The 21,390-nt window shown below is 40.0% G+C and overlaps 1 long non-coding RNA gene and 2 pseudogenes across 2 annotated transcripts in view; 1 reads left to right on the top strand and 2 right to left on the bottom strand.

Moving 5' to 3' along the window:
• OTX2-AS1 (OTX2 antisense RNA 1) overlaps positions 1 to 21,390 on the bottom strand; it is a 119,303-nt gene that overhangs the window by 96,070 nt on the left and 1,843 nt on the right. The gene's annotated exons all lie outside the window — the stretch shown is intronic.
• On the bottom strand, positions 10,147 to 10,253 carry RNU6-1204P (RNA, U6 small nuclear 1204, pseudogene; annotated as a pseudogene).
• RN7SL461P (RNA, 7SL, cytoplasmic 461, pseudogene) lies at positions 10,583 to 10,864 on the top strand (annotated as a pseudogene).

Genomic DNA, 21,390 nt, shown 5'->3' with positions numbered 1-21,390 from the left:
GCAGGAATTGTTAAAGTGAAATTCAACTCAATGAGAAATTCAGTTGTGCAAATGTAATTCACCGTCAAAGTAGGGCTGTCCACTTTAAAGTTAAAATTACCACATATTTATCATCATCTGACAATATTAACCTTGTCTGACTTTCAGCTTCTATAAGCCATAAAATAAGTTTGAACTTAGCTCTCTCTTTGTGTCCGATGGCAGATAAAAATTGTAATGTTTAAAAGCCAGTAAACAGGAATTTACCCTCAGGTATCATAATTAACAAGGCAGTGAGGTTAAAGCTACCTATTAAGGAAGACGAAAAAAGTGGCTCACTCTTTGTTCAGTAAATGGGGCATGTGGGGAGGGTGCACACCCCAATACTCTCTTCTCTAAAATGAATGTCACTCAGATTACAAATTAAAATAATAACCTATTCCACACAGGTAGGTAATTGTTCTCACGGTTGTACTTCTCATTTGGTGTTTATGGGAAGCACTTCAGAATTACTTAATATGATTTTAATGGCAGTGGGAAAAGAAGTTGAATGCTTAAAGAAAGGAACAAAGGTAAAAGGAGCCCCGGAGCCACCTCCGCTGCAGCGAGTGTCACTGAGGCCAGCTGCAGGTGCGCACACCCTGGGCTGGAGGCTGGAGACAGAAGCCCTGCATCTGAAATGGGTTGTTCTCGTGGGTTGCCTCTCAAAGGTGATTCAGGGCCTGAGTTTTTTTACCCACTCTTATATTTAAGCTATTTAAACAACTGTACATCTGAGACTCACAAGAAATTAAAGTGAGGAAAAATTAAGAAGCACTTACAAGTAGTCGGCTGGGTGCAGTGGCTCACACCTGTAATCCCAGCACGTTGGGAGGCCGAGGCAGGCAGATCACCTGAGGTCAGGAGTTCGAGACCAGCCTGGCCAACATGGTGAAACCCCATCTCTACTAAAAATATCAAATTAGCCAGGCATGGTGGCGGACACCTGTAATCCCAGCTACTTGAGAGGCTGAGGCAGGAGAATCACTTGAACCCGGGAGGCGGAGGTTGCAGGGAGCCAAGATCCTGCCATTGCACTCCAACCTGGGCAAAAAGAGTGAAACTCCATCTCCGAAAAAAAAGAAAAAAGAAAAGAAAAAGAATAACAAAACAAAAAACAAGTAGTCATTAAAAGGCTGACAGACTACTTAATGTACCTTAACAGTAACTATACCTGAAAAGGGTAGGGAGGGATCACCACCCCAAGAAACCCGACTGTAAAAGGATAAATGCATTCAAGTATGCATTCATTTATTAATGTATCCCAGCATTTATTCAACAGATATAGGATGGTGCTGTAGCTCTGAGCTGGGCTCTGTGCTGGGAGATGGGATTATCTTAAGAACAAGGTAGACCAGGTTCCTGCTTTCACAGTGGGTCTGCATGATGATTAGCTGGAGTGCAATGGCATGACCTCTGCTCACTGCAACCCCTGCCTCCCGGGTTCAAGTGATTCTCCTGCCTCAGCCTCCAGAGTAGCTGGGATTACAGGTGCCTGCCACCACACCCGGCTAATTTTTTTTTATTTTATTTTTAGTAGAGATGGGGTTTCACTACCTTGGTCAGGCTGGTCTCGAACTCCTGACCTCATGATCCACCCACCTCAGCTTCCCAAAGTGCATGAACCACCATGCATGAACGGTGCATGAACCACCGTGCCTGGCTTGATGATTAGATTTTGGAAATCAATATAAACGGTCATCTTATGCACTGTTTCAAAACATAGAAATTTCTAGTACTTAATTTTAATTACTTATTCATTTGGTCAACAAATATTTAGTGACCACCTGTTGTGGATTCATCAGAACTGCTTTGGAAGAGCACAGTTCACTTTCTTCCTGTCTAAACTAGATGAGGTTCAGGCTGAGTCAAACTCTCAATTATTGCCTTCTGGAACTGGATCACTCCCAAGAAACTGAATCTTTTTTTTTTTTTTTTTTTTTGAGATGGAGTTTCACTCTTGTCACCCAGACTGGAGTGCAATGGCGCGATCTCAGCTCACTGCAACCTTCACCTCCCAGGTTCAAGCAATTCTCCTGCCTCAGCCTCCCAAGTAGCTGGGACTACAGGCGCACACCATGGCCAGCTAATTTTTGTATTTTTAGTGGAGATGGGGTTTTGCCATGTTGGCCAGGCTGGTCTCGAACTCATGCCTGCATCTGCCTATTCTGTGCTTCAGCCAATTGGATACAGCCTCTCAGCCATACTATATATTTATTTCTATTTCCATGTCTTTGTTCCACTGTTCTCCCTGTCCTCCATATTCCTCTCTGCTAATCTAATTCTTACTCATTCTTAAAGGCCCAACCCAAAAAAGTATTCCTTTCTTCTAGGGATCTTCCCTAAGTTATATTACATCCTTAACCTGGACCTATTGTCTATACCACTCACTGTCATCTTGTGACATCTTTTGTATCACAGCTTTATTTTGTGGCTATGGTTTTTCCCATGTATGTCTCAAGGCAGCATGCTGCAAATGCCACTTGCCCCTCTAGAACCATCTTCTACCTTTCTCTACCCTGCTCTGTATAGCAGGACACCGACCTTCTGAATTATGTCAATGAGTTCCCTTGTTTTCTGGCTCTTGGTTGAGTTTAAACAGTGCAAGCCACCAGCAGGAATCAGTGGGTGGGAGGAGAGGGTGTGTAGCATTTGCTGCCCAGTGCCCACCAGGCTGGGATGCACCGGGTCAGCATTTATTTCCTGAAGGCCACCGCATTCATCAGGTGGCCCTTTCCTCCAGCTACAGCCACAACCACAGCTCCGGCTAGCCTTGGGTTCCAGTTCCCAGCCCTTTCCTTGACCTCTTCAGGCTTATGGGTGGTAATGGCTCCCCAGTGTTGTTAGTCTCATGTGCTTCACCACCCCTTGTGGTTTCCCTTAACCCTGCCAACAATACTCCCTTCATTACTATCTCCTCAACTGCCATGCTTGAGTACACCATCAATTACCATCCTTGAGTGCCAGGATCCTGACTGCTAGGGTAGCAACTTGGATTTTGCTTCTATGTATTCCCATGGGTTATGCTTCCATATAGCCCCCACAACATCTAGCTCACTGTGGAGCTTAATAAGCATTTGCTGAAGGAAGGAATAGAACCATGGGTGGACTACCATACTTGAATTAACAATGGATAATTCACAGAAGAAAAAGAATCTCTATGCACTATGGTTCCTCAACTAACGAGAAGATTCACCTTCACCTAGTACCTATACATAACCAAACATAGTGCTATTTCTTTTTTTCTCATAGTGTTTCTTCTTGAATCTGTATTTATGATATTAATTAACCTATATTAAAATAGTTTACATATTTAGTCCCACTTATTCTGGGGAAAAAATTAGTTGGACTCCAATAAATTGGGTTAGTTGAAATGAAACTTCTATTTTTCTCCTTCTTTGCTTTTCACTTTTTTAAATGGAGTTTCTTTACTGATGACCCAGTCATACCAGACTTTGCCCTGCTATTTTCAGTCCTTTTTCTGGACATGTTTTTGCATATCTCAATCTAATGGGTAAAAATTAAATAGATCTGATGCATACATAAGCTGTCAATCATTTGAGAAAGTCTCAATTTTTTCACCTGCTTATCTACACCCTGTTCTACTGAATATCCTAGGTGCCACCTGACACATGCCTATCACATATGGGTGAGAAAAGAAGTACGTTAGTTCTGTGCAGTGGAGATGAAAAGATAGGTGTACATAGATAACCTGGAGAACAGGTAAAATGACTCCTTGAGCAGTGATCTTTCGAGAGGCTGTCACCTCTCGAAGGTAAACTCAGATACCTGCAGCCTGGTCTTCCTTCCTCAGTGGTCTTTCTTAAGCAACCCTCAAGCTCTTCTGCCTTGTCTTTCAGAGTCAGAGGATGGCCTGTGACCACAAAATACATGCTCCTTGAACCATACTGGTTTGAGCAGTACCACTATCTGATTAGTACCCTTTTAGCATCACTATGATTGTTCACCAAGAATAATATTGCAACTAATGCATTTATAGCCAATATTCCATGAAGAAATAACCGTTTGGTAGTTTGCTAGGTCAATGAACAGCAATAGCAGGTTGATTGTGGTGGGAATACCAAGGTCCTACTATTCAAAATCCTAACAGTGGTATAGGTGGATTGAGAGTTATAACCATTAACATTGAGGGATTAAGAAAAAAAGGCAAAATTATTTCAGCCAAATGTTTAATCATTTCAGTCACCACGGTATTAAACCTATGAGAGATTTTGCATCTATGGTTTCCATAACTAAAAATTCAGAGAGAAAGAAAAAAAAAACTATCACAAACTAACTTCAAATTTTTATTTTATAAGAGAAATGATTCGTGATTAGTTAGTGGCAAAGAACTACATACTGACTCTTCTGAAAAGGTATTCAACATTATTTCTACTTTCTCCCAGGATGAAATTGTGGGGTAAAGCCAATGGGTTTTCAAAAGATAAATTTAGCAATCACTGCAAAATGTAGAGGGGTTTAATCCTCTCTACAGCAATTCCCTCTTACCTGTGGTGATTTCAGTTATCTGAGATCAACCAGGGTTCAAAAACATTAAATGGAAAATTCCAGAGAAAAAGAGAAATCACATTCACAAAACTTCGATTACAGTATGTTGGTTTTTGTTTTGTTGTTGTTGTTGTTTTGTTTTGTTTTGTTTTGTTTTGTTTTCAGACAGAGTCTCACTGTGTTGCCCAGGCTGGAGTGCAGTGGCACCATCTCGGCTCAATGCAATCTCTGCCTCCTAGGTTCAAGCAATTCTTCTGTCTCAGCCTCCCAAGTAGCTGGGACTATAGGCGCCCACCACCATGCCTGGCTAATTTTTGTATTTTTAGTAGATACAGGGTTTCACCATATTGGTCAGGCTGGTCTCGAACTCCCGACCTCAGGTGATCCACCCGCCTCGGCCTCCCAAAGTGCTGGGATTATAGGCATAAGCCACCGCGCCCGGCCAATTACAGTATATTGTTAATAATTGCTCTATAATATTAGATGTTATAGTCAATGTCTTAGCATGACTAATAATTAAATTTTGTCATAGGTATGTATGTATAGGAAAAAACATAGTATATATAGAGTTCAGTATTATCCAAAGTTCAGTATTATCCATAGTATACATAGAGTTCAGTATTATCCAAAGTTTCAGACATCCAGTGGAGATCATGGAACATAACCACTGTGAATTAAGGGAGATACTGTCGTTTCTGATCTTTATTGCATTTCAAGTGTATTTGGAGGTCTGCTCCTTGAATCACACTCATTTGAGCAGCACCACCCACTGCCCACCCTCTAGACATAATAAGTAAGTAATCAAATATCCAAAATAAGCTTTCCTCTTAGAAATAAGGAGATGAAGAGTGGTGAGCAGCAATGAGCAGTGGCATGGGTGGTACAGTTTGAACTTTAACACTGTGGCTTTCTTCATGGGTAGAGATACTGATATTTTTCCTCCAAGATGCTCTTCTTCACACTTAAACTACTATACTATGTAACTACTATAACTACTATAACTTCTAGATCATCCTTTAGGAATCAAAAAAATCTGAAACCATTTATTTCTTCATGACAAGTGAAATGGTATATAAAAAAAGGGAAAATAGATAAAGAAACATTTTACAATCCAAGCAACTGCAAACAGCTCCTGTGAACATCAGAAATGTGGAAGTGTCCGGACAAATTTGCAGCATTGAAGGAAGTCTTTGAGGTAAGTAATTGAATTAGAGACAGCTAGCATAGCTTTATGAAAGCGATACTTGTGTACCTTACTAGTTGGAATGCTTTACAGGGCATTACTGACATAGAAAGAAAATGGAACACAATGGATGTCATATAATTGTTAAAAAGCCATTGAATGTTATTAACAATGAAGATTATTGGCTAAGACCGCATCTATTGTGTAAGGTAAAATAGTTTGTTGGATTAAAAAACTGCTCAAAACCTGCAAAAAGTGAGTGAATGTTAATGGTAATTTTTTTTTAAACTGAAGAGAGGTTATCAGTAAGGGTGAAATAATAGCTTTGAAAGCAAATGACTAAAATTGGAAGAATACACGCGATCCAACCTCATTACATTGGACTATTGTGGTACCTTCTCTGACACTAGGTACTAAATTTCCAGGTACTTTTAATCGTATTCTGTTTACGATTATTATAATAAACCCCCTTTCTGAAGAAGAGGTGGAAAGAAACGGCCATGTTTAACAGAATACGATTCAGTGTGTTGACTGTAATTATTGGAGCACAAATTCTTGACTTTTTCAACTTAGCTACTTAAAAATTACAAACCTATCTTTTCTTCTATCTATAGAGACAACATAACCAAAAATCAATGCTATCTTACCTATATTATTTACCTGCATATATACAAACTTGGCTTACAGTAAATTATTAACATGCTATATATCTACAAACAGGTAGGCAAATTTGACACTGCTGAAAGATCTGACTCATAATGGTGTATCAAAAAGACTCTTGTCTATAGTATTAATTCCTCTTAGGAAGTTTAGACAAGTCAGAATGACCCAAGCTTTTTATTGTGTCCAATTCAGTCATAAAAGTTGCGTAGAATCTCCAAATCTTGGGCTGGGTACAGTGGCTCATGCCTGTAATCCCAGCACTTTGGGAAGCCAAGGCAGTCGGATCACTTGAGGTCAGGAGTTCGAAACCAGCCTGGACAACATGGTGAAATCCTGTCCCTACTAAAAATACAAAAACTCGCCAGGCGTGGTGGTGCACACCTGTAATCCCACCTACTTGGGAGGCTGAGACAGGAGAATCGCTGGAACCCGGGAGGCAGAGGTCGCAGTGATCCAAGATTGCACCACTGCACTCCAGCCTGGATGACAGAGTGAGATGCCATCTCAAAAAAATAAAAAAACCTCCAAACCTATTTCTTTAATCTTGAGTGTAATATTTTTAGGATACAAAAATCTGGTGTTGCAAAGAGTTTGCTTTGTTTTGATGGCTTATGATGGAAGTCATATTTTCTGCAATCTGTTCTAAGCAACTTTTTTTTTTTTTTTTTTTGAGATGAGTGTTGTTCTGTCTCCTGGGCTGGAGTGCAGTGGCGTGGCATGGCGAGATCTCGGCTCACTGCAAGCTCTGCCTCCCGGGTTTATGCCATTCTCCTGCCTCAGCTTCCCGAGTAGCTGGGAATACCAGCGCCCGCCACAATGCCCATCTAATTTTTTATACTTTTAGTAGAGACGGGTTTCACCATGTTAGCCAGGATAGTCCCGATATCCTGATCTCGTGATCTGCCCGCCTTGGCCTCCCAAAGTGCTAGGAATATATGCATGAGCCACCGCGCCCGGCCTCTAAGCAACTTTTAAAGAAAAAATAAAACAAAACATAATCAGGGTAGATTCTACAAGAAGTAATTGAGTGAAAGTACTATAAGTTTTAATCTGATTGTAAATCAGAAAGTTCTATAAGTTATAGTCTGATTGTAAATCCATGTCATAGTTTAAATTAGATTTTAAAAACTAAAAAACCTTATGAGACACTATTAAATCTTCAAAATTATGGAGAATTGATATTCATATTGATACATTTATGTGCATATGCTATTGTCTGTTAATAATGACAGCTGTTACAATAACAAGGAATTGCATAAAATTCATTTGAACACAATGGGTCTGATTCAGCAACTTGGATCTGTTAAGAATATCTTCAGTAAAGCACTTTATTGTACATAACACTACTTTACATTTTGTAGTAAGTATTATATATTCTACTATGTATTTTGCTCATTGAGCAGTTATATTAGACAATGGATTTCAGTGACAAAGCTATTAAAATATGGAGAGTATCTTATGTTAAAAGAGTTCGGTGTATCCAGATTGTAGTGGTGGTTACATGAATCTATATGTACATTAAAATATTCACAGAATAGTACACCAAAAGAAGTCCATTTTACTGTATGATAATTCAAATAATAAAATTAACTGTCTCTTTTTTTTTTTTTGCATTGGGTGTCTTCATCACATTGCCCAGCTACATTGCACTACCACGCCCAGTCAAAACTAATATTCAAGATGTAATAAATAGTTTAGTTTTTTAAATGTTTGTGCTGGGCTCTGAAGGATAAAATATAACCTATGGCATAAAATAAACATTTTTTTAAAGTATAAATAATGCTAAGACTATAAAGAACAAGAAAAAAGATTTTAAAGTATATCCCCCCAAATATCACAAAACAATCTATCACAGATGCAATCTGGGACTCTGAGCTTTTATAAGGGAGAATTTCAAGGCTAGCAAATCTTCACAACATAAACTTCTTACAACCTCAAAAGATGAGACAGCTTTCCTAGGATTTACTAGTTGGCAATAAATATTTTGCTCAGCAATTAATAAAAATAATTGTAAAATTGTGTTTGCTTCATAGAATAAGAACTGGAAGGAAACTTAAAGAGTCATTTGATTACCTTCAGGCAGGTGTACACAAAGGTATTTAACCAAAACTTACAAATCTCTTCTCAGAGATCTCCAAACACAGAGATTCCACAATGGCCACCAATGAACATATTCTCATGTTTTAGCACTAGGATAGCTAAGCTGGGGATGTGAGTCTGTGTGTTTCTGCTGAAACAGCTCCTATGTTAAGTTCTTTCATCATCTTGGATCTCTCAAGGCATGGAGAACTACTATAAAAATTCCTCTTCTAGAAAATATCCACGCTTTTCAAGACATTAATTAGATGATCTCTTTAGCCATTCTTCTTCAAGGTTAACAAACCTGCCCTTGATGTGCTATGCTCATAGAGATGCCCATAAAACATTTCTATCATAATAGCTCCTTCTCTTCACTTTCGGTTGTTTCCATCCTTTGTGTTTTAAAGAACAGTGACCAAAGTAGGCCCTGTATTCAGCCCAAGTCTCAAGAGTAGAGTGCTAGAGTGCTTCTTCGGCCATGCCTGTTACGTTTCTCTTTCTTTCTTTTCCTTCCTTCCTTCCTTCCTTCCTTCCTTCCTTCCTTCCTTTCCTTTTCTTTGTTTTTGGCATTCTTGGGAGAAGAATGTGTTGTATATACGAACCACATACAAATGTCCTCATATAAAACACAAAAACCAGTAAAGAAGCACATGGTTCTTTAGTTAATTTTTTAGTTAATAATGGAAGTGCATGTAAGAATATGAAAAAAGAGTATCCTTCAGCCAAGGATGTACAAGTAAGTGACTGAAATAAAAAGAAAACTCCAGGCCTGGCGCAGTGGCTCGTGCCTGTAATCCCAGCACTTTGGGAGGCTGAGGCGGGTGGATCATGAGATCAGCAGATCGAGACCACCCTGGCTAACACGGTGAAACCCCGTCTCTACTAAAAATACAAAAACTAACCAGGCGTGGTGGCGGGCGCCTGTAGTCCCAGCTACTCGGGAGGCTGAGGCAGGAGAATGGTGTGAACCCGGAAGGCGGAGCTTGCAGTGAGCCGAGATCGCGCCACCGCACTCCAGCCTGGGCGACAGAGCGAGACGCCGTCTCTAAAAAAAAAAGAAAAGAAAACTCCAGGCAGTAGCCAGAGTAGTTACCATTCCCTTCCTATCAACACTGGGGTGGATATATAGACCCCTTCCTCTACAGCAGCAGAACAAAATAAAATGAGTTTTATAATTGGCAGTCATAAGAATTTACAGACAACTACAGAATTAAAGGAGGAGCTACCTCTGATATTTGTATAATAATAGGAACAGAAATGTCTAGACCTGTAGACATAAAGTTGATGAAGACACTTGACATTAAATTTCAAACTTCAAGTAACACCTATAGACCAAGATTTTTCTGTAATTCCTAAGTCAGCCCTGATTCAAAGAAGTGACCGGGTTGGCATAGGCCAACTTTAGATATGAACAGGACCTAAAGGAGGCCCAGCAGAGACCCATAATCAGCTAGTTGATGAGGAGAAAGACCACAGAATCAGAACAAAGGATTGTGTAGTCTTAAGGACAAAAGGGTTTGTCTGTCCATTATTGTGGAAAGGATCCATACTTCAGTTGAACACTCATATATTTTTTACTAACTAGCATATTATTCATTCTGTGGTATATTTCATTTCTCTTCACCGAACCTTTTGCAATCCTTTAAAAAATCCCTACTTATGTTCTCTTTCTTTTTTTTTATTTTTGTAATTTAAAAAATGTGGAACGATCCACAAATTTGCATGTCATCCTCATGCAGGGGCTATACTAATCTTCTCTCTGTTGTTCCAATTTTAGTGTACACGCTGCCAAAGCAAGCACTATGTTCCCTTTCATGTGCCTGAACTTGGTGGACACAAGAGAGCTGGCTTCTAAATTCTGTTGCTCAGAGTACATAAAAACAAACAAATAAACAGCTTCCCCAGACAACTGTTTGCATGTGCCACCTATTATTTACCCAAGGGTGAGACCTATTTTGTGAAGAAGAAAAGAAGTTCTGCTCTGGAAACTGTTCAGTGAAGCTTTTGTTTTATACTGCAGGTTAGGGAGGAATACAGTGGGGAGGTTTCCATAAAACTGGCATTGTCAACTGCCCAAGGCAGAACTTGTGGTAGCTTGAGAGCTAGTCACTGTTTTAAATTCCTGAAAAAGCCAGATGTGGTGGCATGCACCTGTAGTCCCAGCTACTTGGGAAGCTGAGGTGGGAGGATGGCTTGAGCCCAGGAGTTGTGCTACAGCAATCGGATGTTCGCACTAAGTTCAGCATCAATATGGTGACCTCCTGAGAGCAAGAGACCCAACAGGTTGCCCAAGGAGGGGTGAACCAGCTCAGAGCAAAAATGGAGCAGGCCAAAACTCCAGTGCTGATCGGTAGTGGGATCACACCTGTGAACAGCCATTGCATTCCAACCTGGAAAACATGGTATCTTATTAAAAAAAAAATCCTGGAAAACATAAACCCTGAAAATTGTGGGACCATTTCCAATTTTTTCTCTGCTTCCCTGACAAGAGTTATTGGTGCAAAAGAAATTGCAGTTTTTGCCATTAAAAGTAATGACAAAAACTGCAACTACTTTTGCATCAACCTAATAATATGGGTCCGAGGAGGAAACCAAAGATTAATGCCTCAAATAAAGTAAAAGTCTTGTCATATAACTGCCCTTCTTAGACTACTTGGGCTGCTATAACAAAATACCAGAAACTGGGTATCTTTAAAACAACAGAAATTTATTGCTCACCATTCTGAAGACTGGGAAGTGCAAAATCAAGGCAGATTTGCTGATTGCCTTACTGGTGATGGCCTGCTTTCTGGTTTATAGAGGGCACCTTCTTGCTGTGTCCTCACAGCAAGATGGAAGGGGTAAGGGTCTCTCTGGGGTCTCTTTTATAAGGACACTAATCCCATTCACGAGGGCTCCTTCCTCATTACCTAATCACTTCCCAAAGTCCCCATCTCGTAACAGCATCACCTTAGGGGTTAGGATTTTAACATGAATTTTGGAGGGACACAAACATTCGGATGATAGCACTGCGCAAATGCTAAATGCAAAGTCATTGTTGTTCAATGTGTTATTTAAAGGCTGTGCATTATTGCATTATCTTCCACTTGTCCTTTTTCCTTCTGTAATTTGTCCATATTAGCCTGCTGTATCTTCTGGCAGTTCTCCCCTCCCTTCTTTCTGGGTTTCATTCCCTAACAAGGGCTCTGTGCCTGTCTCCCTGCCCAAATTGTAACTACCACCTTAGTCTTGCCCAGTGGCAGTATCTTCACCCATAGATTTAACTGAGGCAAAACTATTACCTGTTAAACAACTTTAGCTCTGCAGCATAAACACCCAAGTTAAGAAAAAATTACTAGTACACAAGTCATACATAGTGTTGGAGAATACTAGTTCTAAACATCTGACTTAAAAAATGACTAGGAGACAAGTCACACATAGTGTTGGAGAATACTAGTCCTACAAGATATAAACAGATAAGGCAGATGAGGTCCAAGCCCGTTTCTCTATGGGGAGATGTCTTCCACTTAATATAACTGAATACATTACAAAAGAAAGAAAGAAAAGAAAGAAAAAATTCCAATAAATCTGCACTCAGAAAAAAGGAGGCAAATTGGTATGGACAGAACAATTAGGAAAACAACGATAAATTTCACTTTACATGTGCTAGACAAAGGAGTTAATATCATGAAAACTTAACCATAACAAAATATTTTGCTGAACAGTATTTGGTCCTATATTAAGAAATCAATGTCCATAGACACAAGTTTAAGTTTCAAGAAACTAAAAACTTAAGATGTCTGGATTAAAGATGTCTTTCATTTTCCTCTTTATAAGTTTATGCATTTTTCAAATTATTTGGAAAGAAATTTTGGAATTGAAAAAAAGTTTAAAAACTGAAAATTCTTTTATATATTTTTCCTCTTGAATTATTATTCTGTTTATGAAATAGGAACATGATATCCCCAAGCTGCTGTTGATGTCATCCAGTCGTAGCTAACTATGTGCTTAGTGAAGTGAGGATGAGAAATATATTTTACAGAAAGTGACAACAATATTATGCCTTTATACTTTGTCAATATGATCCCAAATGTGAAGATATTTGAAAATATTCGTTACTGATTTTTTTTTCTTTTCATCTAGATTAACGACACTACAGAGCTATCTATATTTTGGTAGTCACCAAACTTTTTAAAATGTCAATATCATTATACGTGTTATCCATTCTCTACACCAGGATTTTTCAACCTTGGAACTATTAACACTTTGGGCCAATTTTCTGTTGTAGGGTGCTGTCCTCTGTAGTGCAGGATGTTTAGCAGCATTCCTGGTCTCTACCCAGTAGATAAGAGTTGTGATGACTAAAAACGTCTCCAGACATTGCCAAATGTCCCCTGGGGGGACAAAATTGTCGCTGGTTGAGAAACACTGCTGTATAGTGAGTTATCACTATCCAAATATTTTGATTATCTGTTTAACCATTACCTATTACCCCGGCCACATTAATCATGCCATGATTCACATTGATCACAATGATTAAAGAAATTATAGATTTACTATGGTGCTCAGGCACTTACCATTAGGCTATTAGACAAAGTCTGGGAATATAAGGGGAAAAAAAATCCCATAATTAAAAAAAATAAAAGATTACACGGAAAGAGCAAAGGTGTTGGCTGTATGCTAGGATCAAATGACATTCATTTGTTGAAGTAGTCTGAGTGACTCAAAGACATACAGCAGCTATTATTCACTTAGCTACAACACAGCAAATATTAACACATATTTTGAAAAAGAGAGATGTTGCTTCATGTGACAATACTGATAATATTTAAGAAGAGATGTCAGTGACTCATCAGACACTCAGGCAGTCATGATTTTTCCCCTTAAATGTCACTAATAATTTTTCTTACTGCCTTTTTTATTTAGGCACATGTTCAGTGGCACTCACAATCAAAATTCTATTACAAAACACAGTATCGAATATCTTACTTTTATTTTATTTAAATAAATATTGTAAATGATCATAGTGAATAACATAATAAGTATTATTCGTATCACCATTCTTCTGTATTGTAGTGATTTTTATGTCATCACTGTGAATGGTGGATGGTCTTTTGTCTCTTCTAAATGTCCCATTCCTCATGGGATAATTTAAAATGACCCATAAGCAAAGTTAAGTTTCAAGAGGATTTTTTTTCAAATAGACAGCCTTGCCTTGTACTATTATCCTCCAATTTCCTTTTTACATTTTCGAAAATAATATGTGAGTTTTAAAACTTGTTTAATTTAAAATGACTCTTTTTAAAAAAGAAAACACTGTAGTGGGATGCCGGGATTGCATTCATCCCAGCATGCCCCACCACTGTTCTTTGGATGGCAATCACAGGACCCAGACATCAAGCTGTGGAAGAGATTCTTCCAAGCAACAGCATCTGGCTCTTTGGCAAACTGAACAGGCAGTTGCCCTCGTGGCTTTGGAGTTGCCTCTGGGTCTGTCACAGAGTAAGGCTGCTGATGGAGTGTCTGGATTCTCATCTCCTTTTCACTTCGCTGTCTTTCTCATATATATTTTGGGCATCAAGAGACCCACTCTCTTCCATAAGGCAAATGCTACCCTCCTGAAGCCTAATGAACTTTTACGTAAACCCTGTTGTACTTCCATAAGTATCCCTTTCCATTGCCCACATCTCTTACGGAAGTGTAAAAATAGGCAAGCATTCTGGCATCAGCAACACTAGCATTCTATTTCACACCCCACCTACAGAGAGAATCAGAAATTAAATGCTCTATTCTCAGTCCTGAATATTTTAAGCTTGTATTTTCACCTTCTTTACTCATAATAGATCTTTTTGCCAGTTAAATTTAATAAATTCATATTTATAATACGAATAGCTACCTAGTCTCATAAAAACTTTTTTTTCATTCTTCAGATCACATAATCTAAACTGGTAAGGTGGTATAAAGACCATAGGAGCTTAGTACGAAGAATTTATGGCACTTTAAAATCGTAAGTGCAGTCCTTGGAACAAACAAACACCTTGAATACCAGAATCAGCAGCTCCAGAACAAAGGGGCTCTCATATCCTCTTAGCTGTGAAGGAAATTAAAAAGACCAAATTTGAAAAATAAAGAATGAGTTTTTAGAGGTTTGGGGATTAAAAAAAAAACCCTCAACCTTCTGAATAATTTGCATGAAAAGTATTAATCAATATGGCTTCTCTACAGACCACAGGCTATGCACAGGCACCATGACCCACAATTCATACCCAGAAGGTAAAGTACTATTGGTGAGGATGTGTCTCAAAGACTCTGGTGTGTCCAGACACACACTAGATCAGTAGGACTGATTTGTAAGAGGTAGCATTTAATTCTTCCTGTGAGATTTCTTCAGAAAAAAAGAAACCTTCATGCACTGGTCACCTCATGGAGACTCAGTTTTAATCTGTTGTTTGATTACCACATTCAATAACTCCATCGATAACCAATGAAAACTTTCATGGTAATGTCTGTGTTATGAATGGAAAGCAAATAAAATAGAGAGGGGGAGAATCTTTATAAGAAAGACTACATTTGAGTGTAAGTTGTTACTAGAAAAGTCCTAAATTCGAGGGGAAATTAAACCCATTAATTTCTAGGACTGGCAAGTAGTTGAAGCTAAAATGGACAAAAATAAATAACAGTAACTACTACTAGCCCAGAAAGGGGGTTTTAAAAAAATAAATTGTATTTATAATTATTTGAATACTTTTTTTGCATTCTCTTTGAAATAAGATAAGAATGTAATGATGGCATACATGCACATATAGTCTCTATCTTTTAGAGATGAACTAAAAGAATACAGAGTTAAATCTAAAGTTTGTTTTTATTCCTAATCCAAAAAAAAGTATTTTTTACTGAGGAGCACATAATCTAAACACATAATAAACCATACACTCAGCTGCCTTGTGATTTTATTTTTTAGAAACGAATTAGATTTGAACATTAAGAGTCATATACTTTTGTCAATTCATGCAAACAACTCCTACAGTTTTCCCTAGGAGCACTGCTGTGGATGAGCAATACAAGTCCTTACACCCTAGAGCAATGGACAAATCTCTCCAGGCTTAATTTTCGGCAAAAAGAGAGCAATGAAAACTTTTAGATCAAATGTTTATTATAACTATTGGATTATTTGAAATGAGAAAAATTCGAACCTCTAGACATAATCAATTCCTGACAATTGCCTACTACATAGTAGGTGCCCAGATATGCTTGTTGAATGCATACATGAATTAATGAATGAATGTGAGTTCATGTTACAAAAAACTTTCAAAAAAGTACTTATGCTCTAGAGACGTCCTGGCTTGATAATCACAAATCTTTAGACAAATCAGAGGCTTCAGTAAATATTTTTGCATATGAAAAATAAACAAATTTATCCATCCCACCATGTGTGCACAAATTGGGTAATAAACCAAATTGATTCAAATGTGCGATTGGATTAAGAATATATGGTCTAATGTAAAATGTTTGCTTTTACTGAAATGTTTTCATTAAGACTCTAGAGTTGACTGAAGTTATATCTACCCAATGCCAACTACCAGGATAATAAAAATATTTCTTGATGATAATGAAATTGTTTGGTGTCCCTCCAATTCCTTGGTGAATATCTCATGTAGAGAATGTCTTTTTGTTAGAGAAAGACTTCAACCACTTCAACCACTACTTCTGCTTTTTGGTTGAAACAGTAGGAAAAGGTCAGGGTAGACTTAAGCCCATGATTCTGTTGATACTCAAGGTCTCTATCCCATGCCTATTTCTTCTGTGCTTATCTGACATATTTTGTCCATCAAATACAAGAGAGCATAATCAAAAGGGTTACTGCTCTTCCAGTAACCCAGAATACACTATCTACACTTGGGGTGATCTGTGTGTCCCTTAAGTGATGGCTTTCATTGTCATATTTGGGAGCTAAGTATTGGAAGCAATGATATCTTTCACTTTTTGCATGTTCAGTAGTTGAATAAGCTGCCAGAAAACTGCCATTTAGACTAAGAGTTACTGTCTGTGGTTGAACTAGCTTAAATGGTATTCAATAAATGATTAGGAATGTCATTATTGAGTGGCTATCCAAAGTCAGACACTTGCTAATAAAGATGCCTCCAAGCATCCATAGGTTAAATGCTAAGAAACAGATCCACAAATGGAAGCAAGTCTGTTTTTGCTCTTATGTTGTTGGGCAAGTAAGACATCTAGACTTCAAGCTATCCCTAGGAGACCTGGTGCCCTCCTTATTCCAGCCGACACACATGGCCTCACCAAAAGCAGAAACCAGGGCTTGGTTGATAAATAGTAACTGAGTACTTCAACGTTTGCGATCTGAAAAAGGTATTTAAAAGGAACAAGTGAAACTCTGGATACATCATGCAAGGAGGCTTATCTAACATTGAAGCTGGAAAGGAGGCTAGAAGATTCCTAGACCACACCAAGTAGCTGATAGTTGGCTCTCACCAAAGGGAGGTTACAGTGTTCTAGAGACTCACCTGCCCTAAGGGAGGGAGAGGAGCCACCTGGGGCTTCGTGGAAATCTCCAGGCCTGCTTGTCTTCAGAGCCTTGAAGAGGCTACCTAGCCCGTGGGCAAAATCACAGAAGTGGCAAGTCTACAGGAAATTTGTAGATAAATCGATGGAAGCAGGGAAGAAAGTGGGGTATGCTTGATTGAGGGACAGCAGAGCTGGCCCCAGCATACTGAGGGCTGCAAAGGGAAGCGTGCATTTGTGGAAGGAGCTTTCCTGTGAGGCTATGCCTCAAGGGAGGAGAGTGTATTCAGTTGGCCCTTGGAGAACAGGGTCCTTCCTCCTCCACGAGGCTGGATGTGTGAAAGTGTCTCCAGGGCAGCCGCCAAAGTCTGATTACCTGCTCCTCTCTCTTCTTTTCTAGACACTTCCGACGGACTCAGACCCCAGCAATATCTCTCCCTGGCACTGCGCGCGGCTGATCAAAGCGAGAAGCTTTGCGAACTCCCCAGAGGGTGCACGCCTCCCATCTAACCTTTGGTGAAGGGAAGTGACGGCGTGGTCACGGTGCGCCTGTCAGCCTGCAGCCGCGCCCTGGCTCACACTGGGGCGGGTTGTGGGGAATAGTGATGGGGGCGCCCCTTTCCCCGGCTGTCTGAGCCTTAGCTGGGAGACTGTGCTGGGGAAGAGGCAGGGGCAGAGCCAGTTCCGAGGGGTGTAGGACCCCAAGCAAGAGGGGCCTACCCTTTTGCGAACATCGAAGCACTTCGTGGAGACCAAACAGAGTTTGCCCCTTCCCCAAGCTGTCACGGCCCCGGGGATCTTAGGACTGCGGGGGCAAACCGCGTCCTCGAGTCCTGGCGCCCCGGAGGGCCGGCAGCCTCAAGGACCAGGCCCGGCACCAAGGGCTGCCACTCCTTCCGCTACGAGGGCGGGATCCCAGGGGTCCCCCAGTCCCGCGCCGTCTCCCCTAGCTCGGCGCACTGGGTCCGAGGTGGCCGGTGTGAGGTCTCAGCTGGCCGCACCTCGTCCAAGAAGGGAAAAGACCAGAGGCCGCAGACGTCTCCTCCCAGTCTGGAGTTGGGACGCACTAGGGTGTAGAAAGGTCAGGATGTCCCCCCACCCCAAACCCACACGCGCTTGCGAGCACACACGCAGACACAGAGACACGCGCGCGCGCACACGCACACGCACACACCTACGCTTTGCTCCCCTGGCCTGAGAGCTGGAGAGGGGGCGCTTTGGAAAACTTGGCTGATTCGCCGGATGACCATGTGCGCTCAAGACTGTACCCGCCAAACATAACCTTAATTTTACAAGATGTTTTTCCCCATAACTTTTCTGCAAATGAGTCAGAACAGAACCCAGTTTCCGAGGCAGCCCAGTCTGGTTTGCTAAATTTCTCAAAATGTACCAGCTGGCTCTGAGCTTCCAAATCCTCCATCGCGCGGTGGCCGCGGCCGCCCTCACCCGGCTCCATGCGCGCAAACGGAAGGGCGCGAGGTTTGCGCGGAGAGCCAGGCAGCCCCGGCGCCTCCAGCGGGGCGGCGCAGCTCGAGACCCGGCGACCCGCCGGCAGGGGCGTCCAGCCCCGCGCCACACTTGCCAGAAAATAGCCCGCCTGACCACAGCCGGCCCTGGCGCTTGCACATTAAGAAACTCAAATTAAGAAGTGGGTGAATTGGGAAAGGAGGGAGCCGGGGGCGTTTGCACCGTGTATCTCAGGTATGAGCACTTTTCACTGACGTTGATGCAACTGCATTAGAGTTAATGGCAGCAGCCTGCTTCTCATTATTAATTGTCTTTGTGTTTGGATAAAGTATGTAATCTTCTTCTCAACCACACCATTAAAATAGGTTGCCTTTTCAATTAAGAACTGTCGTGAGCACAGCAGTCAATTTTCCTAATGAAGATGCATTATATTTTCACTTTTTTAAAAAATAATGGAAAATCCCAGGTTTTCATTAGACACGATTACAGAGAAATACAAGAGGGCTCCTCTAAAATTCATGCGGTCATGTAGTGCATTAAACGCCAGGCTTTTAAATAAATTGAAATTTCTGTAGATAAAAGAAAAGCATGGCTATCAAATATGTTGAAACACGCTTCATTCAGATTTTTAAAAGCAAACATCATGAGTTCGTTTTTCCAAATGAGCTTAACAGATACAACAGTTTTTAAAAGTACAGTGACTGCCTGAAAATACATTATAAACTTTTTTGTGGGGGGGTCCCTTCTAGTTTACGGATGATTTGCAGATCTTAAACTAAGCGGTGAATGTTGGAAATGCACTATGCACATTTATATAATGTTCGGCCTTTGAACAAATATCTCAGATTAATCGTTCAGCAGCACAAACGGTCTGGACTGTGCACCTACAATTAGTTTTCATTTTTTTGTTTGTTTATTTCCTTTCTTCCTTGCTTTCATTTTCTTTTCTTTTCTCTTTTAAGACAAACTGAAAGCCAGTGACCCTGGTAGAACTGTTTAAAATTCTATGCCTTTGAGATAAGCAACTTTTCCATTGTTGCAAAAAAATTAAAAATTGCAAAATTCTAATTTTGAAGTTTTAAAATTGGACAGAAATATTCATTCCTGAATCCGAAAATGGAAAGTTTGCATTCATGCACAAAAAAGAAAAAGTATGTGTTATTTATTCTCTAATCTTGAGAATTTGGGAGCATGTAGTGAAGGGGATCTGTCAAGATTTATGTTTTCTTTGTTAATAAAAAATTAAGGTTGCTATCTTTTGCATATGAAATACTGTTTCAGACAAACAATGTCTGTCTTTTTCTTTCTCCATTCAATGTGAATACTCTCATAGGAGCCACATTAGGGAATATTGTTTGAGAGAAAAATAAGTCAAATTCTTCCAAGTAGAAAAAAAAAAAAGTTCCCAACAACAGCCAGACTTTTTCTTTGTAAGGCAACATCAGTTGGTTTCTTGTAGACATGATCTTTTCCAGGTTTTAGGTGTTATGTCTTTTAAAAATTGAACTCTTTTTTTTTTTTTTATCAACCAGCCTCTTAAAATGATCTGCAAAGAGTGGGAAATTAGATTTTCGATTAAAACCTTATCCCATCTCGAAGGATTACTTTATATTGATTCTTAAATATGGCTACAATTGATGGACTCTAATTAAAAATCCAAAGGAAAAGTCTGTCGTGCCCATATAAAAGAAGCTTTTCATATACGGGAAATAAAGCTTGTAAAAGGTTACAAATAAAAGATTAGAGATTTATCCAAACTAGTTTAAAGCTTCACTGTGGTTTTCTTTTCTTCTTTTTTCCTTTCTTACAAAACCATTCCTGGGTCTTTTTTTTCCCCAGTTTTAAATGAAGTTTGCAAACAGGCAAGATATTGGACTGTAATGGTTGTTTTATATCAGCTCTGTAAGCTCAAGGCTGCTGCCTGCAGTAGAATTGATTTCAAGGAAACTTCAGGACCAGGAGATGAAAATTATGTAAACTGACAGCTACCACCCTTCATCAATCCATCCACATTCCCGTCCACACCCTTCTAACACACACACACACACACACACACACACACACTCTGCCTCACACTTCTCTCTGTCTCACATCCACACATGCCCTTCCTATCCCTCACCCTAACCTTGCTCTGCACACACCCTTGGTCCCCACACTCTCAGGGACAGAGGCACAGCTCCCGGCTCACACTCCGCTCATAAATGTCTCACAGCACCACATCTCGCACTTGTCACACAATCTTAATCCGTTTCATTCCGGAACAACATGGTCCTCTTTTCCTCTTTTTCGCATTTGGAGTTTGCCTCCCTACTCTTTTATCGAGACAGCCCAATCCTATCTTTGAAGTTGTTTCTTTCTCCCTTACCCTCTTTTTTGAGGCAACCGCAATGCAGGGAGTGAGAGACCCAAGCTTAATTTATAAGTGATCTGTTGCCTTATTTTTTCCCCTAAATTTTGTCTGCATTTCCAGTCTTAAATCCTTGTTAAAAAAATTAAGGTTAATCTCCTCAAAGTTTATAATAAAGATATATCTAAAAACCTAATGAAAAAATGACTTCTTTCTAGGTATTATGGTGCTTCTAAGGCAAAATGTAGTCCCTCACTGTCCAGTGAATTGCTGAAAAGATTGGAAATTAATGTTCATATTTCTGAATTCAGTGTTAAGGAAGTCTAACTGGCTCCTTTCCCCCAAAAGGCTATGTTCTCACGGAATATGGGTTTTGTTCTTCTTTTTTAATTAGCCTGGAAGAATCCCGGGATGTCTTCTCTCCCCTCCCCCTCCCCCACTCCCCCCACCAAAGTTAATAAACTTGGAGGAAAGTTTGGAATATTTTAAACTGGCCTGGCTTGTGCGGTGGAGAAATTGAGCCTAGTTAGTGCCACACATGAATCTTGATTTCAAAATATGCATATTAGACATATTCTAGAAACTGCACACAAGCTCTGACAAATAATTTGATTCCCTTCGTATT

This window comes from Homo sapiens, chromosome 14, assembly GCF_000001405.40.
Source record: "Homo sapiens chromosome 14, GRCh38.p14 Primary Assembly".
NCBI lineage: Eukaryota > Metazoa > Chordata > Mammalia > Primates > Hominidae > Homo > Homo sapiens.
This window is presented reverse-complemented; position numbering and strand designations above follow the sequence as displayed.